Source organism: Homo sapiens, chromosome 15, assembly GCF_000001405.40.
Source record: "Homo sapiens chromosome 15, GRCh38.p14 Primary Assembly".
In the NCBI taxonomy this organism is placed as follows: Eukaryota; Metazoa; Chordata; class Mammalia; order Primates; family Hominidae; genus Homo; species Homo sapiens.
Window position 1 is genome coordinate 59256519 of NC_000015.10, and position 26144 is coordinate 59282662.

The 26144-nt window shown below is 41.7% G+C and overlaps 1 protein-coding gene across 1 annotated transcript in view, besides 1 other annotated feature; it reads right to left on the reverse strand.

Moving 5' to 3' along the window:
* The window catches only part of MYO1E (myosin IE), a 240438-nt gene that overhangs the window by 124085 nt on the left and 90209 nt on the right, over nucleotides 1-26144 (reverse strand). The window contains exons 2-3 of the mRNA NM_004998.4: nucleotides 15788-15931; nucleotides 4902-4991 (exon numbers count right to left, since the gene is read on the reverse strand). Of these exons, the coding sequence (NP_004989.2) occupies nucleotides 4902-4991; nucleotides 15788-15931 (234 nt within the window). The remainder of the gene's footprint in view (nucleotides 1-4901; nucleotides 4992-15787; nucleotides 15932-26144) is intronic.
* Nucleotides 25432-25726: a silencer, noted in NCBI's record as "tiled region #2447; K562 Repressive non-DNase unmatched - State 22:ReprW". NCBI's record gives its function as "represses a minimal TATA promoter and a strong SV40 promoter by Sharpr-MPRA in K562 cells {active_cell/tissue: K562}" and the evidence as "EXISTENCE:reporter gene assay evidence [ECO:0000049][PMID:27701403]".

Here is a 26144-nt window from a genome sequence, read left to right on the forward strand (position 1 = left end):
CATTACATCTTAAAGGTTGCATGATACAAGAATTCATAAAACTTCCTAGGTCATCAAGGTTACACCCTCACAAAATTAAGACGGAATTTGGAAGCAGTCTCCCGTAGGCATATCCATGATTCAGCCTTCCGGATGTGCCCCGTGTCTTTAGACACTCCAACACCCCACCCTTCCACCCATACACGCCTCTGCAGGTGACAGTCCATTTCTAAATGTTTCTGTAGACACTTGGGCAACAGGTCTTTGGAGAGGCCTGCCAAACACCTAGATCTGACTTCTACCAGAATTCTAAACTCTTACATAATTTTTTCTAAGAGGCCACGTTGTAGATTCTGGGGCCTCAGAGGGAATTAGGTGAGATTATCTATGGATCAGAAAAAATACTTAAATCTTTCCATAAGAAGAGGGCAAGAAGGTGTGGTTCTTTAAAGGGATAAGCTAGTTTGGCCAGTTTGTTTCATCTCTATTGGAAAAAAAAATCCTACCACGCTAAGATATTCTCCTGGGTTTGTGATTTCATCTTATGGGATATCTTAGCTATGCACAAATATCAAACTAAATACATTTTCCATGCTTAATAAATTATCAGGCTGACTTCAGCCCTGCTTTATACAATTTCTTGACACCTACCTTTACCACAACCTCAAAAATTACTAAAAAGAGAAATACTTTGTTGAGTATATATGGAGAAAGAACACTCCTAGCCTGTAATCACTCCAAGCTACTTGGTAGGCTGAGGCAGAAGAGTTGTTTAACCCTAGGACTTGGAGTCTAGTCTCCACACACACACACAAATTTAATTAGCTGGGTGTGGTAGCACATGCCTGCAGTCCTAGCTACTTGGGAGGCTGAGGTGGGAGGACAGCTTGAGTCCAGGAGTTGGAGGACGCAGTGAGCTACAATTGTGGGAATAATAGCGTCCAAGCTGCAAGTCTCACAGTGTAAATGACGGATGGGAAAGCAATTTGAAAAGACAGAGTGATATACAAAGGTGAAGCTTAACGTACTTAATCCATCTTTGGATTAATTTACTTAATCCATTTCATTGTGCAGTGACTTACTGTAGAAAAGGGGGCCTGGCTGAGAAGTTGCTGCTCACTGCCATGCTCTGGAAGATGAGAGTTTGGTGGGGAGGGGTTAGGATGAGGGGGCTTTGTATCCGATACCCAGTGTTCTTCCCATGCTGTAGGCAGGGGGCTCATAGGGGGAGCTACCCAGTGAGGGCTGCAAGCTATGCCTAGGACTGGTCACCTAAAGAACCCTATGCAGGAACCAGAATATGTGATCTCTGCCTTAACCTTATGGTTAGGAGTGGATACCTGGATAGGACCTCAGGATATGGTTTTAAATGGACTTCTAGTCCACAATAAGATTGTGCAGGATTATTATAATTATTATTTTAATTTAACAGAGTTTAACTGAGCAAAGAATGCTTCGTGAATAAGGCCGCCCTGGAACAAGAATAGATTCACAGAGCCTCCAGTGCTGCCATATGCCATAAGATTTTTGGGCAGAAAAAGGAAAGTGATATACAGAAAATGGAAGTGAGGGCTGGCCCTGGCTCAGGCCTGTAATCTCAGCACTTTGGGAGGCTGAGGTGGGAGGATCACTTGAGGTCAGGAGTCCGAGACCAGTCTGGCCAACGTGGCAAAACCCAGTATCTACTAAAAACACAAAAATTAGCCAGGCGTGTTGGCAGATGCCTGTAATCCCAGCTACTCAGGAGGCTGAGGCAGGAGAATTGCTTGAATCCAGGAGGTGGAGGTTGCAGTGAGCTGAGATTGCAGTATTGCACTCCAGTCTGGTGAAGAGCGAGACTCCGTCTCAAAACAAAACAAACAAACAAAAAAATATATATCTAGAAAATGGAAGTGAGGTACAGAAACAGCCAGATTAGTTACAGATTAGTTTAGAATTTGCCTTATTTGAACACAGTTTGAATAGTTGGCCACCTTTGATTGGCCAAAACTCAGTGACTGGCAGAAAAGTAGGTTATAGTTTGTTTATACATCTGGTTAGGCTACAGTTCACTGTGCACAGAGAAACATTTAGCGCTGGGTGTGATGGCTAATGCCTGTAATCCCAGCACTTTCTGAGGCAAGGCCAGAGGATCACTCGAACCCAGCAGTTCCAGATCAACCTGGGCAACATAGTGAGACCTCCTCTCTACAAAAAAGAAACAAAATTAGCTGGACATGGTGGTGTGTGCCTGTAGTCCCAGCTATTTGCTTGGGAAGCTGCGGTCGGGGGATCGCTTGAGTCCTGGAGGTGGAGGTTCCTGTGAGCCAAGATCACAGCACTGCGCTTCAGCATGGGTGACAGAGTGAGACTTTGTTTCAAAAGAAAAAAAAAAAAGAAGAAAACATTTAGATCCAACTTAAAATATGTAAGGAGGCAGCTTTAGGCTAAACTTAATTTAACAATTCCCCTCTCTTGTTTTTTTTTGTTTTTGTTTTTAAATAGAGACAGGGTCTCACCATGTTGCCCAGGCTGGTCTTGAACTCCTGGGCTCCAGTGATCCTCCCACCTTGGCTTCCCAATGTGCTGGGATTATAGGCATGAGCCACCATGCCCAGTCCAATTTCCCTCTTTTGGTCATCCTCTCAATTTTGAGACACTGACCAAAACTTTAGGCACTGATGTCACTCTGTCACCATTGTAAAAATGTACTTACTTGTTCTCAAATATCATTGAGAAATAACAGAACAGTAGGGTTTGTAAGATTGGAACAAAGACTCTAGGTTACTTTTTGTAAGGGTTAGAGTAGAGCGGACCTCCTCCTGCTGGCATCTCCTGGTCTGTTTCTTTAAAGTTTCGATTATGTCACATGTAACATGAGTGATTCCATGTTGGTTTGGTTTGGTCTGGTCTGTTAGGGGCTACTGCATGAGATCAGTCCAAAACAATGGACTCTCATAATTTTGTTTAAAAATTCCCCTCTTTAGGTCAGGTTCTCACTTAGGTGAGAGTGTCACCAAAACTTAGCCCTTAGCACCCCTCTCAGTTACCCTCATTTTGGGTTTCTGGTCTCAAGTGCACAAACAACATTAATGACTCTTTGAAAATGAGAAAGTAGAGGACTGTAAGAAAGACACGAAGATGGAAAATGGAAGGAAATGGAGTGAAAAGCAAGCTATGGGCAGTGGGGGAAAGTCATTGCCCAGTAAGGCTTCAACGCTGCTGAACTGTCATACTTGACCTTTGCATGTCACTCTATATTTTCCAAACTCGTTTCCTATCTGTGGTCTTACTGAACCTCTCAGCTATCTGTGACAAAACTATAGAGTGGGCATTTCCTTTACCTGATTCTTCCCTCCCCTGAGACTCTCAAAGTCATTAGGACCTGACTTCAACTCCTAGCTCCATCACTCAGTAGATTTTAGTACTTCATCTCTCTGAGCCTCAGTTTCCTCATCTGTGAAATGGAGATAGATGTTATGACACAGCCAGCATCCAGGGCTGTTTTATTATTGCTGCAAGTATAACATAGTACATGGCACTCAGTAAATACCAGTTTTACAATAATCTGTTACTATTAGCAGTAAAATTGAGCATATTTTTTAGAAATTCTACATTTCCTTAAAGAGAACACTTCAAAAGATAAATGGTCTAAAAGGGATGTGTATACAGCAACCCTTTTCAGAAAACTGGAGAGAAACACACATGCACAGCACTACCATCTACAGCGCCTTGGCTGTCATTGAGGACGCCAAGCCAGCTCTGTGCGCCTGCTGATCAGGGCACTAGGGCAGGGCCAGCCTCTGCTGACAGTGTTTCCCTTGTGCTGGGCTCCCATAAAGGCAGCATTATCAAAGGTCTTTCGCGTGGCAGCCTCCTTCGGCTCCAGCTACCAGCACCATTCATCTGGCAACAATGGGGTGGGCTCTTGCTCTGGGTAAATTGCCTTCCACTTCAACTGATGAATTTGTGTGGGCTCTCTTTTGTTTGCTTTTTAGGGGTCAGGATTAATGAATACTCTTGTGCTTCTGCTGCAGTGGGAAGGAAAAGGAAAGGAAAAAGATGCAGAGATGGGGAGGCCTGGGGAAGTGATGAACCACAGAATAAAATATATTAAGGAGAATTACAGCTTCCATTTTTACTATACAACTGAAATGGCTATGGAGCTGATTATGAATAGGAACCAGGGTCAAATTAATAAATGAAGTAATACAAGATTCATTTTTCATGTTGAAGTCATAGTCATAGTTTAACAATGGTTCTGATTCTGCAAATCAGTACCCATTGCTCTATTTTTTTACCCATAACTGATTTTTATTCCTTAGATTTTTGTGGCATATATGGAAGCAGGAAGATCCCTAAGCTGTAGGTCCTACATCCTATTTAACTAATTTTCTATGCAAATAAGGCTCAAATATTAGACAGTCCTAAGCTTTTTTGAGCTCTGCTCTAAAAAGCAGATCATTGGCCAGGCGTGGTGGCTCACCAGCACTTTGGGAGGCTGAGGCAGGTGGATCACCTGAGGTCAGGCGTTCAAGACTAGCCTGACCAACATGGTGAAATACCGTCTCTACTAAAAATACAAAATTAGCCAGGTGTGGTGGTGCATGCCTGTAATCTCAGCTACTTGGGAGGCTGAGGCAGGAGAATTGTTTGAACCCGGAAGGCGGAGGTTGCAGTGAGCGGAGATCATGCCCAGCCTGGGCAACAAGAGCAAAATTCTGTCTCAAAAAAAATAATAATAATAAAATAAAAATAAAATAATAAAAATTAAAAAATAAAAATAAAAAGCAGATCATTAAAAATCAAACAATGTCACTCAAGTTTCTCCAATAAAAAATTCATAATAGAAAAGTGCAAAAGTACTGCTAACTTCAAGAAAAACCATGTCTGCATCATAAAAGCCCTAAATAAGGCAGTAATTTATGTGACACGTAACTTACCGCTCCTTGGTACATTTCAATTTCCTTTTCCCCAAAATATGGCATCTGCTTGAAAGGGTTGACTGAGATTAATACAGATCCTATATATGTCTGAATTTAACTCAGTTAAGGTCCATCATTAATATTCATAGCTACACATTTTTCAAATTAAGTAACCAGATGTTATCAAGAATTCACAATGACTGTCCAAGTGGAAAGTTTGTGTACTTGTTTTCTAAAAGATTACAAGTAAAGACGAAAGCAATCATCCAACTAGCACAGGCTTTATTCCTCCTAAGGAAGAGTAATAAATTACCAAGGTGCTACAAAATGAAATCATTATTTTAAATGAACTAAAGCACATTCTTTCAAGATGGGTGACACGTACAGCAAGGAGAAAAGAAAACAAAGGAAAAATGGCCAAAGAGTGAAAAAAGCAGTTATCAGTCCTCCCCTCAAATGATATGCATTTTTTCCTTTGAACTTTCGTATCCGTTAGGTACACTAAAAACATATTCATCAGCCGGGCGTGATGGCTCATGCCTGTAATCCCAGCACTTTGGGAGGCTGAGGTGGGGAGATCATTTGAGGTCAGGAGCTCGAGACTAGCCTGGCCGACATGGTGAAACTCCGTCTCTACTAAAAATACAAAAATTAGCCAGCTGTGGTGGCACACGCCTGTAGTCCCTGCTACTGTACTCAGGAGGCTGAGGCAGGAGAATCGTCTGAACCCATGAGGCGGAGGTTGCAGTGAGCCAAGATCATGTCACTGCACTCCAGCCTGGGCAACATAGTGAGACTCTTGTCTCCAAAAAAAAAATAAAAAAAAATATTCATCTACTTATTTAACAAATACAGGGATACAAGATGAACTAACAGCTCTGTTCTCCAGAAGCTTAGAGGAATTAAAAGGCATCAATGAGGTAATTTTCTGGCCAGGTGCAGTGGCTCATGCCTGTCTGTACTCCCAGCATGTTAGAAGGCCAAGGGGGTGGATCGCTTTAGGCCAGGAGTTTGAGGCCGGCCTGGGCAACATAGCAAAACTCCATCTCTAAAAAAACAAAAACAAAAACAAAAACATTAGCCAGGCATGGGGGCGTGTGCCTGCAGTCCCAGCTACTGGGCAGGCTGAGGCGGGAGGATTGCTTGAGGCCAGGAGTCGGAGGTTGCAGTGAGCCCAGATCAGAGGTTACAGCAAGCCAAGATCACGTCACCGCATTCCAGCCTGGGTGACAGAAAGAGACCTTGTCTCAAAATAACAGTAATAATCATAAATAAGGTAGTTTTCAGAGAAGAAAATTATAAACCCACCTACATCAGGTTTAGGGAAAGAAGGTATTATTTCTGCTTGGGGAATACAAGATGGCCTCTCAGAGAGGCTATGCTTATGCTGGGCCTTAAAAATTTTACACATTTTAATATATGAAAATAAATGAAGACTTATGATCACATGAAAAATATTTCCAATTATTCATTCAACAATCAACTAATTTGAATTGGGTGCTTACTTAACATGCCAGGCACTGTTTTAGATGCTCGGGATATGACAGTGAACAAAATAAATAGAATATATATAACTTCTTGACTTCATGGAGAGAATAAATATAACTTCTTGACTTCATGGAGAAAAAAAATCTAAACAACACACAGAGACATTCAAAACTGTTTCTTTCAATGATCAATTTCAAGGTGTTTAGAAATTTTACAAATAAATTGTTAAACAGAAAGTTATTTACAAATATATAGTTTTAGATAAAGACTTAAAACTATGAGATTTCCTCCCACAGGAGAACATTTTTATATTTACATATTAAGACCTGTGTACCATGAAAACCAGCCCAGGTGTTCAGTCAGATTGGCTGGTGCTGATGGAGATAAAATAGGACCTACCTGATAGTCTCATTTTACTTAAATAAAATAATTATAGAACACTCAGCACTGTGAGCACAGCACATAGTAATGGCTTTTCCTTAATTAATATCCTCTAAGGCACATGTTTTATCATGTAATATCTCAAATCATGATGCATGTTTCAAGTGTGGCTTAACATGCCAGGTGCTGTTTTAGAGGCAATGGTTTGTTAGTTTCTATTAGACACAGTGTTATTACTACTTAATACAAATCAATGTGAGATGGATCATATAATCATATAATTTTTTTAAAGATAATATTTTAGATTATTGTGCATATACAAAGGTAAGCATGCAGAATGACATGATTATGCTTTTACTTCTCTTTGTCACTGACCAGAAAGATCTTCATACTTGAAGGGGTGGAACATGAATTGCTATTAGGGAAGATGAAGTGGTTTTAAGACCACTTCAGCAGTGCCCAGTTCTGGTCTAAGGGCAGGCCATAGTGCTAAGAGAAAATGCTGATGAGACAGTGATTGAGCCATAACTGAAAATTACTGAAGAGTTATGGAAGAAGGGCCATGGAAAATGTATTCCCAATTGCCAAAGTCAGATGAGGCCAATGATAGATTAGTGAAAATTTAGGACACATACATGTACTGTTAAAATTATCAAGCAGGTAAGACGTCCATGATGCCGTAGCCAAGACTCAATAAGGCGTCATAAAATTAATTAAACACATATACATTTACATCTTAGCACCAAATAACAACCTATTTGACTTCAGGTTGACTGTCCCTTATCCAAAATGCTTTTTGCAGATTGTGCTTTTTTTCATATTTTGGAACGTTTGCATTACACTCACCACCAGTTCAGCATCCCTAACCCAAAAATCCAAAATCGAAATGCTCTGAAGAGCATCGTGTCGATTATCAAAACATTTCAAACTTTGCAGCATTTCAAATTTGGAATTTTCAGATTAAGGATACTCAGCCTGTACAGGGAAACTGAGGCACGGAGAAATTTTTAAAAGTTGCTTAAGGTCACACACTATAAGTGGCAGAGCTAGGATTCAAACTCAGGCAGTCTGGATCCCACGCCCATACTCTTAATCAAAAGCTAGAATGTCTAAGATAAGCAGGTACTGTTGCGTTAATATTATTACTGGTAGCCAGATTTAGCAAATAAAAACACAGAAAACTAGTTAAATTGGAAAGTCATTCAAACAAGAATTTTTTTAAGTATGTTCCAAATAAGTATGTTCCCCAGTAATATTTGGTACATACTTATAGTAAAAAGTAACTTGTTGTTTATCTGAAATTCAAACTTAACCAGCAGTCCTGAATTTTATCTGGCAACCCTAAATTGGCAGCCTCTTCTAACTTAGATTCTCTGATGCTTTGCATACTCGAAAACCTAATTCCCTTAGGTGGATTTTTAAAGTATCTTTTCTAATTGGTAAGGACCTAATCAAAATTGAATGAACGAGCAGGTTGTGGTGGCTCAAGCCTGTAGTCCTAGCACTTCGGGAGAATAAGGTGGGTGGACCCCTTGAGCTCAGGAGTTCGAAACCAGCCTGGGCAATCTAGTGAGACCTCATCTCTACAAAAAATTTTTTTAAAATTAGCCAAGCATGTTGGTTGGTACGTGCCTGTAGTTCCTGCTGAGGTGGGAGGATTGCTTAAGCCAAGCAGGTCGAGGTTGCAGTGAGCCATGATCATGCCACTGCACTCCAGCCTGGGCAACAGAGCCAGACCCTGGCTCCCAAAAAAGAAAACAAACAAACAATTAATGAATGAAGTAATAATGATTCTTATGGTAAACCCAATTTTAAAGAAACACAGCACTGCTAGAACCATCTTCACTTCAGAAGAGGAAGATGTTTATTTCATGTCTACATCTATCCCCAGGGAAAAACAAACAGGCAAATAAGCTCCTTCCATGGAGGAGGGTACTTGTTCCCTTAGTTGTAAAGGGAATGTGGTTACTGCCGCCTTGTCCTAGACAAATTGATCACTGCACACAAAGAATAAAGGGCTGCCCTCAGGACAACAGACAAAGGTACCACCTCCCCACCAATCCCTTGGTTACTCAATAAATATGAATTCAGTTGCATATGAGCTCCTAAAGTGACCAACATTTTAAAAACTGTTAATTTGCTATATAAAGAGATATCTCATTAAGTCTTGATTTTTCACCAAGTAGATTACATAAATTCTGATTAGGGCCTGGTTAAGGAGATATTCAGGAAAAAAAACAAAAACAAAAATTTATTTTGGACTATTCTAGGCCAATCGTGAATCAATGACTCAGGTCAGAATGAAATGAAGAGGGAAATTTGTACCTGCTCCCTAAATTTATCAGTAGGGTTCTTGGGGATAATACTATTTGGGAAGACACCTAAAAAATAAAGTTTGGTTTAAAATGGCTGTTTCTGGTTGGGTGCTATAATCACAACACTGTGGGAGGACAAGTGGGATGATTGCTTGAGTCCAGGAGTTCGAGACCAGCCTGGGCAATATACTGAGACCCCATCTCCTTAAAAAAAAAAAAAAAAAAAAAAAAAATTGCCAGGCATGGTGGTCTTCACATGTAGTCCCAGCTACTTGGGAGGCTGAGGTGGGAGGATCACTTAGGCCTGGGAAGGCAAGGCTGCAGCGAACTGTGATCACACCATTGCTCTCCAGCTTAGGTGACAGAGCAAATAAAATAAAATAAAAAATTTAAAAAAAAGTCTCAAAAAATAAAATGGCTGTTTCTACAGAAAAACTAAGGAGAATTTAATTGATTTAAAGAAAATAAACATATCGTAGTTATTTCCGGTGAGAGTTTGGAATAATTGTTTATCTAAACAATTCTCACCTTTTCCACCTTGCTATGTCTGCAGAGACCTTAGCTATTTTCCGGACACCTGTGCTCTCCTGCTGCTTTGGGAACTCCAGGTAATTCCAACAATGCTCACTCCCACTCCTGTTGCATAATTCAGGTGTGCCTCTGGGAAAAGCCGTTCGGATCATTGTCTTTACCCACATAATCCTTGGTGGTGAAGGTGTGGCCTAAGGTTAATTTTCAAACTGCATAAAGATATGAAGCTATGATACCAAAAAACAGAAGGAAAAAAATGCCAATTATTTAAAAGACTCTGGGAGACAGAAGAAACCCAAGATATCTTTAACTGATGGGTTCCCAAATGCCTGCCCGTGGATCTATCAGTTTTCATTGACCTGCAGCAAGAATGACAAAAAAACAAACAATGCACTGAATTTTTCATAAAGCTTAATTTATTCAAAATAAAGAAACTGTCCTTTATTCTTAGATTATGTCCTTCCTACGTTTTTGGTGTAAAAATATTTTCTTTTATGAAATGTGATGGCAGTACAACTTTCAAATTTTGTTTTTTGTTTTGCTGTTCTTTTTTTTTTTTTTTTTGAGACGGAGTCTCAGTCTGTCACCCGGATGGAGTGCAGTGGTGTGATATTGGCTCATTGCAAGCTCCGCCTCCCAGGTTCACACCATTCTCCTGCCTCAGCCTGCGGAGTAGCTGGGACTACAGGCACCCGCCACCACGCCCGGCTAATTTTTTACATTTTTAGTAGAGACGGAGTTTCACCTTGTTAGCCAGGATGATCTCGATCTCCTGACCTTGTGATCCGCCCGCCTTGGCCTCCCAAAGTGCTAGGATTACAGGCGTGAGCCACCGTGCCCAGCCTCAAATGTTTGTTTTTAATAGTCTTATTAGGCAATGCTAAGAGTTGAACTTTTAAAATCTTTTTTTTTTTTTTTTTTTTTTTTTGAGGTGGAGTCTTGCTCTGTCACCAGGCCGGAGTGCAGTGGTGCAATCTCGGCTCACTGCAACCTCCGCCTCCCGGGTTCAAGCAATTCTCCTGCCTCAGCCTCCCGAGTAGCCGGGACTACAGGCATGCGCCACTACGCCCGGCTAATTTTTGTATTTATAGTAGAGACGGGGTTTTCACCATGTTGGCCAAGATGGTCTCAATCTCCTGACCTCATGATCCACCTGCCTCAGCCTCCCAAAGTGCTGGGATTACAGGCATGAGCCACTGTGCCCAGCCGGTTAAAATCTATTTGAATAGTCAGTGAATTTCCCAAAACCACCTACGCTGGTCGAGTGGACTTCCTTGGGTTCATCCCTGAGGTGGCACAGGGAGGTGAGTTGACTTCCCCAGAGTCACGTGGAGAGTGGGTGGCCTGGAACTCGAAGCTTTGGCTCCAGCCCGGCATCTGTCTTGCTATATAGCATGCTGCCCCTCCAGTGAACTGGATGCCAAGGGCCAGACCTCACTCGGAACAACTACGCTGCTTTGAAATCTAGTGGGTCTGGCACGAAAATCTGGACTCCTAATTCAAGGATTAAAAATGCCAAACACACCTGAGTGTGGTCTTTGAGTAAAAACAAGTTTGGAGAAAGTTGGACCGAATGAGCACAGAGTGCTTTGCGCAGGAACTCTTTTCGTCGGCCAAGTGGTCAGAAGTGCTCTCTCCCTATGCACAATAGACAACACTGTAATGTTTTCCTCATAGATCTTACAATGTAATTGTAAAAAGTGTGGCAACATTGATGACAAACAGATGGCAAATTAAACCTTGTCATAGGACAAATAACTCAAAAATAGGGAGTTTTATTGGTAAACGATGTCAGCATTTTCTAAGTGGATTTTTTTTTCCTAATGTAGAAGAAATGTGCATTCAGCCTGAATGCATTAACAATCGATCGCCCCAAATGCTGACTTTCAACACAAGACAATGTGCAGGAATTAGATATAGAAGGGATAAAGTGAGCAATTTTATAACTCAATGTGAAATCAAGTCTCTTCTCGTCTTAACAATTAAACATAGGAGAGGAAAAAACCCAACTCTTACTTACAGTAATGCCATTCTATTATAATATTCCCTTAACATTGAAGTGTTAAAGGATGCTTTTACCACTTAGCAGAGGAAGACTTGCAGCAGAGCCCCTGTATTATTTCACAAACATCCATCAAGCTCCCTCAAAGCTGAAAGCTACTCTGTGCTAATGATAGAAAGCACATTTATGCTGGGCTTCCCATATATTCAGTGGGTAGAGATTTCTAAAACATAAAGTCATTAGTGGTCAAGTAACTCATTTCCTTGGTAGAACACACGATTAGTCAGTCATCGATTCAAAGGCATTAATTCAAAGGCGCATAAACAGCCCTCTCTGTGTGAGTCATTTAAAAATTCTGTTGTCTGAATTTAAAAAGCAAGTCTTAACAGTCAACAAATTGTCAATGAATACTTAATACAATGCACCATGCCAAAAATTATGCAGAAAACCAAGAAATACATGAGGCAGGATGATGCCATTTTTGTTAAAATTAACAAGAAAGCACACATATATGCATGGCCATATGTGGTTAAACTGAAAGCTCTACACCAAGAGATTAATAAGAACTAACCTTTGGTGATGGGTTCTGGGTGACTTTGGTATTTTTTTTTTTTTTTTTTTTTGCTTCACTGCATGGTATGAGCCATGTTAAATGAACCTACATTGCTCTAAAGGGTTTTTATATGCTGCTTTTTGAAGAAGATATATAAGACATAGTCCCTGCTTCTGGTGTTTTGGGAGTAAACAATCGTGATTGGGAGGAGTGAGGCCGCCTGGAGTTATGAAGGACTGACTACGGACATCATTTGTTTGTTTTTATACTCAGCTTACCAAAAAACCGTATTTCCATCTTTATAATGCAGTAAGTCCAGCCCACATTCCAAGAACATTTCAAAATATAATTTGTACAACTACTACATTCAGCGGAAATGAAGACTTCTATGGGCTTGTCAATACTCCATTTATAACGGTTTCTGTGGCAAAATGCATTTTAATTTCCAATAAACAAGTTTACAGTGGAATTTTTGGAAAATAACTCGGAAATATGGGAAGCACTTACACACCTGCATGGTAATAATGACTCATACTTACTGTTTACTTGCTGCATTCTTTATTTGGTTTCACCCTACAACAGCCTTATGTGGGAGATTTTATTATTACTCCCATTTTACAGGTACGGAAAGCAAGGCACAGAGGTCACAAAACGTTTCGGTCACCAAATCTATGCAGAGCAAGGTTTGAAGCCAGACAGTCCAGATCCACATCCTGCCACCCAGCTCCTTCTAATCAATTAACTGCCAGTTTTCATGTGCTGTGGGTGCTGCACGTAAAAGTGATTAACATTTTTTGACGGTGTTAAGTCCGGATAAAGTAAGCATATTTCAGTATTTTGACCAAATAAAATAAAAACCTGCAACTGAACATAACTGTTTTTGTACAATTCAATTAAATGAAGCTGCTGGGCGCAGTGGCTCACGCCTGTAATCCCAGCACTTTGGGAGGCTGAGGTGGACAGATCATGAGGTGAAGAGATTGAGACCATCCCGGCCAACATGGTGAATGAAACCCCACCTCTACTAAAAATACAAAAATTAGCTGGGCGTGGTGGTGCACACCTGTAGTCCCAGCTACTCGGGAGGCTGAGGAAGGAGTGAATCTGGGAGGCGAAGGTTGCAGTGAGCCAAGATTTCGCCAACTGCACTTCAGCCTGGCGAGAGAGCAAGACTCCATCTCAAAAAAAAAAAAGGAAGCCCTGCACAGGTATCTGGAGCAGAAGTCAGCAAATTTTTTTCTGCAAAGGGCCAGAAAGTAAATATTTGAGACTTTGCAGAGAGTCTGTTACAACTACTTAGCTCTGCCACCATAGTGTGAAAACAACCCTAAACAATAACTAAACAAATGAGCATGGCTGTGTTCCAACAAAACTGCTGTCCAAAAAATGGTGGTAAGTAAGATTTTGTCTGTCAGCCATAGGTCACCACCCTGATCCAGAAGTTATATAAGTAAATAATAACGTAATGTATATTTCAAAATTGTGGAGTATAGATTTTAAATGTTTGCACCACACACAATAAGTATGTGAAGTGATGGATATGTTAATTAGCTTGATTTTATTATTCCAAAATGTATATACATATTAAAACATCACATTGCCAGGCGCAGTGGCTCATACGTGTAGTCCTAGCACTTTGGAAGGCCGAGGCAGGTGGGTTGCTTGAGCTCAAGAGTTTGAGACCAGCCTGGGCAACATGGTGAAACCCTACCTCTACAAAAAATCAGCCAGGCATCGTGGTGTCTGCCTGTAGTCCAGCTACTTGGGAGGCTGAGGTGGGAAGATCACCTGAGCCGGGGAGGCGGAGGTTGCAGTGAGCTGGGATCGTGCCACTGCACTCCAGCCTGGGTGACAGAGGGAGACCCTGTCTTAAAAAAAAAAAAAAAAAGAAAAGAAAAAAGAAAAAAAAATCACATTATATCCCACAACTATATACAATTACTATTTGTCATTTAAAAATACAATAAATTCACTTTTTTTTTTTGGAGACAGAGTCTTGCTCTGTCACCCAGGCTGAAGTGCAGTGGTGCGATTTTGGCTTGCTGCAATCTCTGCCTCCCAAACTTAAGCAATTCTCCTGCCTCAACCTCCCAAGTTACAAGTTATGCCTTGTAACTGGGATTACAAGGCATATGCCACCATACCCCGCTAATTTTGCATTTTTAGTAGAGGTAGGGTTTCACCATGTTGGCCAGCCTGGTCTCAAACTCCTGACCTCAAGTGATCCACCCGCCTCTGCCTCCCAAAGTGCTATAAAAAGAAAATAAATGTTTTAAATGATGCAATTATAATGTAGCCAATAAATCCAACTATATCTGTTAATCCTTGAAAACAGAGGTTCAGAGGTTTAACTACAGATATTGGTAAAATTCCCTTATAGTAAATAAGAAACAGCAGAGTACTGGTCAGAATGGTCCAAATGCCTTGGAATAATGCTGTTAATTATTTAACAGTATTGTTTGTTAAATACCTGATAAGTTGAACCCGACCCCCCACGACTTACCAGTGATGGGATAGGCAGCCGCTGCAAAAGTTATTACTGCAAAGGTTCCCGTGCTTTTAGCTAATAGTCAAAAAACCAGTTTAAGTAATCATAATAAGCCACTGATGTGAAAACTATTCTTCCCCAAGCTTTTTGGGTAAAAATCTAAGATGTATATTACATCAGAAGCAAAGACTCCACTTTTTAATAAGTCATCCATGATACCATACTTTCAGAAGGCACTATTGGCATCAAAGTTAAACTTTTTGGTACTATTATATAGATTTGACACAGAGTTTTGCATGTCCATGACTAACTCTCACAATAGTTCCACCAGGATATCTTTACATAGTTGCATCAAACAAAATTCCTATAGAACTTAAGCAAATATCACAGTTCCCTGTTGATAATGAAGTCAACCCATATTTGAATCAAATTTCCATTCTGCATTTTTTAAAGCCCCATAAAAAATGGCATCCGGCAAGCTAAAATTGAAACATAAAGAACAACTGAAGAACGTCAAGCATTTTCAATAGTCCATCTTCACTTCTCACATTTCCTTTAGTAAACATTAAAATGCAGAAAAACTGGCAACATTTTTAAGTCTTTTAAGTGCAGACTCAAATGTCTCTGCTTTGCAGTCAGGATGCATTATTGATAGAACTCTTTGCAAACCAGGACTTCCTCTAGGAAGAGCAGAGGTTTCAGATACCACGTGCATGACTAGAGCATGTCAAAGGGACGATATTATAGATTAAAGTAGATGAATACTGGCTGCATCTTTACTTTGTGAAATGCCAGGAGAATAACCGGGCATCATCTTTGCCCTTTGCACAGCCTGAACCAAGTGATATAAACATACAAAACCTCATTCTGAAACGGTGAAAACAATGTGAGCACACAGCATCTGTTCGGACTTTCAGATAGCTCTTCTCAAGCCAGGAATAAAGCCACAAGTTCAGTTTTTATTTTTATTTTTTATAATAGAGATGGGGTCTCCCTGTGTTGCCAGGATGGTCTGGAACTCCTGCCTTAGCCTTCCAAAGTGCTGGGATTACACACGTGAGCCACTGCACCCAGCATAAAGCCACAATTTAACTGTGGACACTGTAATATCACTTAGAAATGTCCAAAGCAGCCAATAAAGGATACAAAAATGTAGTCATCCATGTATCTCTTCTTCAGATTCTCCACGATGGAGTTCTCTGTGATCTTGGACAGTAGCACCATGTCGTCCACACCACTGTGCTTGACATTGTGGCTTTGCCAGTGGTACTGGTAGACACCTTTGCTTCCCTGGGAACATAAAACATACAATTACTAGGATAGTTTGTTTTCCCCTGTAGTAACAAAGACAAAATGCTGTTAATTTCCCAAATATTCTTAAAATAAAATGTAGCAGAAAGAGCAGTGCAGAGAAAGATTCTGCAATCAATAAGATGAGGATTCAAGTTCCAGCTTTGCTACCTACAGACTAAGTTAAGTGGGGAAAAGCTACCTAAGCTCATGTGTCCCTGAAGTGACACAAAGTGACTTCTCTTTTCTCATTTGTAAAATGGGAGACAGACCCATTTCACAACGCTGCTGTAAGGATTAAATAAAATAATATGTGTGAAGTGCTAAACAGTGTCAGGAATACAGCACAACACACGGTTGACAGTCTCGGATGAGACTATCCTTCAACCATACTGTTGTGTTGAATTTGTCGGTGAAAATAAGCAACGACATAGAAACTTTCTAGTCTTGTTTTGCAAACTACATGACAGAATCCAGAAATGGAAAGAATATGTATCACACAAAGGCTATGTCACACGGTCATAATTTCTCAAGTCATCTAAATTACTTTCCCTTCATAAACTTATCACTGTCATACGTGTAATACTGGCTTTCCATATTCAAAAGATAGGCTACATTTTTATGACTGATCACTGCTCCAATAACGAGGATGTGGACAGGACAGACGAAACGAGATCACGGAACATGCCCAGGAGGGGAAGGCCTCATCCCCGCATGGCCCCCTTGGGTAGATGAAGCTGTGGCCCTCATCTACGTCTGGGATTTTTCAGCTTCACACCAGGGGCGGCCTCTGAACACTCTGTGGGCTGCAGGGCTTCCTTTCATTTGGCATTTCTGTAGTGGGGTCCCCCATGTGTTCAGCTACGTGACAAGTTCTTATGGCACACTTGGGGAGCTTAAAGTCCTATGAAGACACCTAGATAATGATGGAACAAAGTGACTCATGAGCACTTGGGGAGCTGAGCACTTGGGCAGTTCAAAGTCCCTTGAAGGACACCTAGATAATGATGGAATAAAGTGATTCATGCGTCAATAACAGTCAACATAAACACACACAAAATGGGTGTTCCAGGAGTGGAGGTTAGGCCACTTTGTCCTGGGAGAGGCAGAAGAAATGACTTCCCAGAAAAGGAGCCATTTGAAGTAGGTCTAAGATATTTAGAATTTGCCGGAGGAGACCAGAGGAGGAAGGACATTCATTATAATCTATGCCGGAGGAGACCAGAGGAGGAAGGACATTCATTATAATCTACACTTATCAGCAAAAAAGCTAATAAATATGAAGTAATGGCAAATATTACATGACAATATTGGAAGATCCTCCCTTACCTTCAAATGCTTGCATTCTACTGGGAGTGTCGCCAGTGGGTAAGTGCAGTGGGCACTGCACTGGGTGAGACTCGCCCCTGCCCCCTCCCTGCTCACTGCTCGGGGGACTTCGAATGAAGAAGAGAAAAATTCTAAATAAGGGTATCTAGAAAGGCCAACTGCTCAGACATCAAAACTAGGATGAAAAAAGGGAAAAGGAGGCTTTTTGAGAGGAGAAGATGACAAGAAACAAGATGGAAGCCATTCCAAATTTTATTTTAAAAATTTATTAAATGGTTTACTTTTTTTTCGATGGGAAACACAGATCCTTTGCTAAGAGCAAGTTCTAAGAAGCTCTGGGAAAAGCCATCTTTTAAAATCAGCCAAGAAGGAGCTACCACAGGAAAAGTGTACAGTGTCATGGGCTCCTGCTCTGGAAAGGGATTCTGGAAGGCCTGCCACCCATGCTGTCTTGCAGAAGGAAACTCTCTATATCTGGCATTCTCAGAACCACATACAGCATCAATTCTACAAAATTACCTCAGACCTCACCACTCCTTCTTCCTCTTGTGGCAAAGCAGAAAGAGAAAAAAGCACTGGCCACAGCATGACTCACTAGATTTCCATTGAATGCCCATGGTCTACTTCCAGCCAGATAATTCCCAGTGATTCCTCCTCTCCTCACCTCCCCACCTTTTCCAGCTTTCTGGGCACCCACGGTTACTCTGCACAGAAAACTAGGGTCCCAGAGTAACCAACCTGCAGATTGGTTGGTTGGTTTTTAACCCCCATAGACATCTAAAAATGGAAGCAGAGTTGAATAAAACACAAGGGCTGTTAATAAGTACTTATTCAACTTCTATAAAGGACAAGAAACAGAGAAGCTCTGTGTCATGGTGCGTATGTTTGTATTGATCCGAAGAAACTGCCTTCCTAGCGTAACCCAAGTTTGTCTCAGTATCAAACCCATTGGTCTTTCTCTGTCTCACTGCACAGAGACACATTCCTGACTGCCCCACCTCAGAGGCTGTTTCCTCCTTTTTCTCATGGTAGTTATTTCCTAGCAGAAAAGCACTCACGGTAGAGTTCATTGATTCTCATAGTTCCAAGTATCACTCGATACTGAAGATTCCTAGCCCCAGTCTCTAATGCTCAAAGAGGACTCATTTTCCAGTCTGCTGTCTATATAACAAGGTGACAGTGGTTACAATATGCAAAGGAATTAGTTATTTGATTTGTGGAGGGTGTTCTACTTACTACTGCAAGCAATCCTAGGAGAGAGGGGTTAACATTCCCATGCCATATAGGAGGAAACTGAGATCTCCCGACTAGTAAGTAGCAAAAGCCAAGATGTGAACCGAAGATTCGATGACTATGGACGCATCCAAACGTGGTTTCTTCACAGTCTCATACATGAATGACTGACTTATTGGATATTTCTACCCGTTAAGTTTAACATGACAATGGAATGACAGACTGTCTCCAAAACCAAATGTATCATTAAAAAGACATACAATTTTTATTCATGACCACCTCCTCTTAGCATTAGAGACTAAAACACCAAAGTTATTTTTGATTTGATACGTTTTTTATATCCAATAGGTCACATATCAGTTTCTGTATCTCTCTCTCCCTCTCCCTCTCTCTCTTCCGCCCTCCCTCCCTGTCTCCCTTCCCTGTCTCTCCCTCCCTCTGCCAGGCAATTATAGTTACATATGTGAACTCATTCAACCTTCACAACCATCCCCCCATACTATGTATTACTATCTCTATTTTACTGCTGAAAAAACTGTAAACTGCCCAAGGTTTTCTAATGGTAACTTCTGTCTTTAGTGACCACTCCTCACTATGCATTTATTCTCCCCACTCCCCTAAAAACCCACCCAGATGAGGCAAAGGGAGAGAGTAAAGAACCTGGAGGTGGGAGCAACTCAGAGCCTTTGGGAGAACCTGACCTGCCCAGATCGTCAAGGACAAGGTGGATCAATGAAAGCTGGGAAGCTTTAGCAGAGGGTGATATGGTTATCAGCAAAGCTGGAAACCAAACATGGATGTGCAGACCCTCAGCCCAGCCAGGGAAGCTGAAAAGTTCCCCACAGTGAAACAAAAACCATTTTCTGTTGCTGGGTAGGGGACAACAGAATTTGCTACTAGTGTGACTTGTCCAGAGGCACACAGCCTCTGCACACAGCCGCTGAATGCCAGGAGTTACATGGGCGGTGTGGTGGGGCATTGTTACCACGCACTATCCTACGCTCTAGGGAGCAGAGGCTGAAAGTTGTTCTAAGACACAAACTACCGCCCTAGAATTGTGAGAATATGCAATAGGGCTCTGGGGCAACTAACCCTTCGCACCCGTTTTGCCCCTCATTTCTTCCTCTACCCCTGCTGAGAGGCAGGGGCAGGTTTGGCTGCCATGTGTGCTGGGAGAGGGGCAGCAGAGATGGTTCCTCATCAGTGTGAGGGCAGCCATTCTCTTCAGAGGGCAAAGGCATTGTTTATTGGGCTACTACTTCATGACTCTCAGGCGAGCTTCATTTTTGAGTAATTCCCTTTTGCTCCCCCCACTAAAAATGGTACCATTTTAAACAGGTGGATACTCAGCAAGGTATTGCATTTTACAGCAGCTCCTGGTGAGCGCAGCACACTGTACAAAGGGAGGAGGGCAGTGGCGGGCGTGCCAGCTACGACATGAACGTAATAATAACAATAATGAAAAGTTACTCTTATCCCTGACACTTCCTACAAATTATGACGGAGAAATTTCCATTAGATAGAGATTGAGTGCAGACACTCTCAGATCCACATTCCGTTTCTAAGGATGACGTAGTTTATTAAAAAGCAGTTGATTCATGTGCAAGTTCTGGAAAGTAGGGTACGCCCCTATCCACATAATAGCCTGGTTTGTTGCTAACATTTAAGAGGTGGAACCCAAACACCAGAGTCCCTCACACACAGGAAGAACTCGGCCTTGAGGCTGGGAACCTCAGATGGGTGATTCCCTGACTGATTTTTTCAAAGGTGGAACCTCACTGACTGGTGTCTGTTTACCAGGGTGGGGACCAGGAAGAGCAAAGGTGAGTCAGCATACACAGGAAGGATTATTCTCTCCTGAAAGTCCACCTTCATTGCCCAGGAGACAGCCCCAGGGTAGGCCTGGCCCCACGCGGCAGCGGTTCTGCAAACACTTCATTAGTGTCCCAGGGAGCACTGTTCTTTGATGCATCTGGGAGAAAGGAGGAGTTACCCATATACTTGGTAACCACTATCTTCAAATGCCTTCAAATGCCCAGAAAAGGGAGACAATTAAGTGTGTTGTGTAAATACAACAAGGTCCCCCACCCCGTACAGGGCAGTGGGGAGGAGGTGACCATCAATACTCTTACAAACTTCTACAAAGAGTAAACTGCACAGTATTTTTAGGTAGCAATTTAGAAATCGGTATTGAAATTTTAGACACACAGACCAATATATAAACATAGTTAACTAAATAAAAATCAAAGTCTGGGCCAGGCGCGGTGGCTCATACCTGTAATTCCAGAACTTTGGGAGGCCAAGGTGGGCGGATCACAAGCTCAAGAGATCAAGACCATCCCAGCCAACATAGTGAAACCCTGTTTCTACTAAAAATACAAAATTTAGCTGGGCATGGTGGCATGAGCTTGTAGTCCCGGCTACTCGGGAGGCTGAGGCAGGAGAATTGCTTGAACCCAGGAGGCGGAGGTTGCAGTGAGCTGAGATCGGGCCACTGCACTCCAGCCTGGCAACAGAGCAAGACTCCATCCCCCCACAAAAAAAAAAAAAAAAAAAAAAAAACATCAAAGCCTCATCCTCTTTGAGCCAGCAACTGTATTTTTTAGGAAACTACCTCAAGATACACCTGCAAAAGATACATGTGCAAGGTTGTTCACTGTAGCAAAGTTTGTAATAGGGAAACAGAAGCATCATTAAGGGACTGATTAGAATACAGAATGCTCTGCAAAGGAGTACTTTGCAGTCATTAAAGGAACTTGCATGTCCTGATATGGAAAGAGCTTGAAGATACTGTTTCATTGAAAGAGTAGTCAATATGTGGAATACATATGGAATTACTGAATTTGTGTAATTTTTTTAAAACGGCATGTTTGCTATAATTGTTTTGTTGGTACTTTTGGGGAGAAGACCTGGAGTTTTAGGAGAAATGTAACCTTTATTTTCCATTTTAGACCTTTCTGTACAGTTTACATTTTTTAATCATATGCATGTGTTAGTAAAATCTTAAAATAAATAGAAACATCAATATAATTGAGCATTTTCTGGGTTGCTGTTGGGCACTGACCAGGCTCTCAAAGTCAAAAGCCAGGACTGTCCTAAGACTGGATTCTATGCTAAGTCCAGGTTTGAAAGGTGATTGGAAGACGCTGTGTGGACAGTAAGATAGTATCATGTCTGAGCCATTTAGTTGGCCCATGAGCACAACAGGACAGCAGATTTGATTTCAGAAAACCTGGGACTAGAATGCCCCCAGTGTTATAAGTAGATCACCCTGAGAAGCAGATAAACCATATTCTTACGGTGAACAATGGACAATGGGTAACACTCTGGCCTGCAGTCAAACTGAGCTTGTTTTGTAATGGGATTTTTCTGTCTCCGTGAGTAATAACAGGAAAGGGACTACCTATTTTAATTTTAAGACATTCTGGAATTCCACCTTTTACATTTCTGCCATTTTACTGGACTGAAACATTTACTTCCACTGCAAATGATGAAAAATCAACCAAAAATATTTGTCTGTCTGCTACATACAAGGCACTGGGCTTGCAAACTGGTCTACAAACCAGCATTGGGCTTGCACTTTATTTCAACTTTATGAAATTTAAACCCCTAATATTTTGGTGATGGGAAGATGTGTCTCTGAAGCAAGTATGTGTGTGCTGGACTTCAGTGCACAGAGTACAATATGAGGAAAAAGTGTTCCTGAAACAGTGCATGGGGGACAGGGTAGTCAGTAGCCAACAACCCACTCTCAACCCCTTACACTCCTAGATAATTGGAACATTTACTGAAACCAGAAATACGTGCCAATGCTTTTTACATAATTATCTCATTTAATTCTCACAACACTTGCAAGACACAAGTATTATAATTTCTGCACTATTTTACAAATGGAGAAACTGAAGCTTGGGGTCATAATGTACCATGTTGCCTCTGCTTGGAGTGGGTGGAAAAGTGCACTGAGGGGGTGGCACGTGAGGCTCGGGGAAGGGAATACTCAATGAATATGGAGTATGTGCTTATTCATAAAGTTTCATCCATTTAAATATATGTGACCATACCACAGATTCATTATTTGTGTAGCATTTTCACATACACGTGGTCTCCTTTCATCCCTGAGACCTGACACAGGGATTTCTGACTTCCTTTTCTCTGCTCTTTCTGCGATACCAAAGCTCACTTCCAATATCATCGTTAAGTCCAAGTGTAGACACAGGCTCCAGGTCTACTGTGGGTCCAGTGATCTCTTAGTCAGTGGTGCCTGGAATCAACCTTCCTAGAAGAGCTGGCCCCCGGTGGAGAAGTGTTCCACCACTAGAGCAAACATATAATGTATCATTCAGCCCGGGACACTTTTGATGCAGAAGAGAGTGTTGTTAATGATAAAGCTGGAGGAAGGCACATAAACTGGGACTGTCTCAGGCTGCTAGGTTGCATCTGTGACCAACTTGATCTCAAAAAAGCCAAGGACAACTCTCAAAGACTAGCCCTCCCAGCCAAGACCCTGTGCCACTTAGCCATAGGGTGTCACACAAATCAGTCAACCTCTTGGAGCCTGTCCCCTCCTCAGCAAAAAGGGGTTCATAACACTACACTCCCCCCTGGGCCACTGGGAAGATCAAATAAGACTGACCATCAAACCACCCCCAATCCTTTTAGGGGTAGAGCTGGTTTTACATGATGACATGATCCAGTGCATGGAAGGTGCACACCAAGCCAGCAACATTGGCTGAGTGGGTTAGAAGGGGGAGGGAAAAAAAGGTTTGTTGAAAATAACAAGGGATGGTAAGGAGCCCCAATTTTGTTTTGATTGAACGTATGATAGTATTTATATGCACTATCTCTGTACAAAAATACAGTTGTTAAAATGTTGTGGTTGTTTATCTCAGTGTACTTTCTGCACTGTTTTATTTTTCTGAGTATGTATATATAAAATATACACACACAGAGCTGTTTTCATTGTGAAAAAAGTTAGATCAAATAAGATAATGGATGTGAAAGTCTTGCTAAGCAGAATGAAATATATAAATGTCTGACACTGTTTTCCATATTTTTTATTATTTCATGTCAACTCAGTCTCCAATTCTTTTTGTTTATTCCAGCTTGCAGATATAGCAAACTTTTTTTAACAATAGGCTCCCAGAAAGAAGAGACACGACAGCTTTCTTTTACTTTCTCTGCCTGAAATGTCAATCTCAAAAGGATCATTTTCTATATCAATGAACAGTTCAAAGATAAGATGTTGTAAATGAACAGTTAATGTATTCCATCAACTCTAAGATGCATTCTTTTTCACATTTTCACATTTTGAAATTAGGATGTCTTATAATCAACTGGACGCAGCAGCTCATGCCTGTAATCCCAGCACTTTGGGAAGCCAAGGTGGGCAGATCACTTGAGGTCAGGAGTTCAAGACCAGCCTGGTCAACATTGTGAAACCCCGTCCCTGCTAAAAATACAAAATTAGCCTCGTGGTGGTGCACTCCTGTAATCCCAGCTACTCCAGAGGCTGAGTCAGGAGAATTGCTTAAACCTGGGAGGCAGAGGTTGCAGTGAGCTGAGATCGCGCCATTGCACTCCAGCCTGGGCAACAAGAGCGAAAGTCCATCTCAAAAAAAAAAAAAAAAGGATGTCTTATAATCAATGATGTGTTATAGCTTAACTGGCAGTTTTTTTTTATTTTTCAATACTGTAAATAAAATAATGATGCTCCTTTTATAACCAGTAGCATCTTAGGTGTGATATATTCTGGCGCATGACATTTACTAAGGGCCAGGTACTCTTCAAATATCACTGTTTAATATCATCACAGATGAAAAAATATTATAAAAATTTTGATTACTCTGGAAGCATTGTACCAAATACTAATCTCACGTCAGGAACTGTGTAGTGGCTTTACTGGTGAGGCTGATGATCACCCAGTTTTAGAGGCTTTGTTGCAGAAATTTTTGTAGCTGCCACCCCCTCCCCCATCCTCACCTCCAACCCACTAGAGGATGAGGACAAGGGTCCTGGATGACAAGCTGCCCAAGAGAAGCCACCCATCACCAGACCACAGCTCGCAAAGCAAGGTCTTTACGTAATTTCCTCTTCGCTTTGTAAAGACATGTTCAAGTTTGTATCTCTTTCAGCCTACAGGTTCTTTCAATATTAACACCATTTGAAGCAGAAAGGTGTCCCACCCTCCATGCGATATGTCTGCCCTGGGATTACTATGATGTCTGACTTTCCCCATGACTTTTCCTTTTCTTTTCTTTTTCTTTTCTTTCTTTTTTTTTTTCTGAGAAAGAGTCTTGCTCTGTCACCTAGGCTGGAGTGTAATGGCATGATCTTGGCTCACTGCAACCTCCACCTCCCTGGTTCAAGTGATTCTCCTGCCTCAGTCTCCCGAATAGCTGGGACTACAGGCGTGCACTACCACACCAAGCTTATTTTTGTATTTTTAGTAGAGACGGGTTTTCACTATGTTGCCCAGGCTGGTCTCAAACTCCTGACCTCAGGTGATCTGCCCGCCTCGGCCTCCGAGAGGGTTAGGATTACAGGCGTGAGCCACCGCGCCCGGCCCCCATGACTTTTCTGACATACACCACACCATATTGCAATCTTTCCTAAACCTCAGTCATTTTCAACTATTTTAACAAGTTTCCTATAACCACATTCCACAGCACTTGCTTCAAATTTTTCTATAAATGGTCCTTAATAATTTTGATTAAACCTACACAACAATCTTCATAAAATCCACCAGTTTGGTGTGCTAGTTTTGTTTCTTCAACATGTAAAAATAGCTACGAAGACAAATGTTGTAAGCCGGTCGCGGTGGCTCATGCCTGTAATCCCAGGGCTTTGGGAAGCAAAGGTGAAAGGATTGCTTGAGCCCAGGAGTTCAAGGCTGCAGTAAGCTATGATTGCACCACTGCACTCCAGCCTGGTGACAAAGCAAGACCCTGTTCAAAAAAAAAAAAGGAAAAGAAAAAGAGAAATATTGTAAAATACACCAGTGTGGGGTTGTACATACCGATGTTAAGGTCTACCCTGGTGCCATGTTCCACACCTGGGGACACACTGGCATTCCCTATTGGGCCTTTTCTTGTCAATTTCAAGTCCAGCCATAGGGAATTTAAATAACTTCTGTTCGATTTCCCAAATGCATTTTACTCTGCTGTGGAAAATCTCACATGGTAAGACCAGATTTCCCTTTTAGTTTGCAGGCGAGAGTCTAGGTTGTGTTCTCACAAGTAGAACCTACCCTATGTTTGTGTTCTGAATTCCCTGCACTTTCCATCAGGGCTCCCAAGCCCCCTGCTCTGTCTAGACCTCCCACCTCAGAAAACCCTCCCAGCCACAGGTGGGACATGTCAGTAGTCCCCAGGGTCAGGGCTTGTCTTGAGGCTGAGCAGGAAATTCTCTTGGGTAACTGCTTTTTATTCTTTCTCTCTCAGGAAGTGCTTCCCGTAAGCATTACCAAAACGGTTCTGTCCTCTTTCCCTCACAAACTCCAGGAACCCTAGAATGGTGGCTCCTATCTCTGATCCTCACCAAAAGTCCCTTTGAAGACCAGGTGTGGTGGCTCATGCCTATAATCCCAGCACTTTGGGAGGCCAAGGAGGGAGGACTGCTTGAGCCCGGGAGTTAGAGGCCAGCCTGGACAACA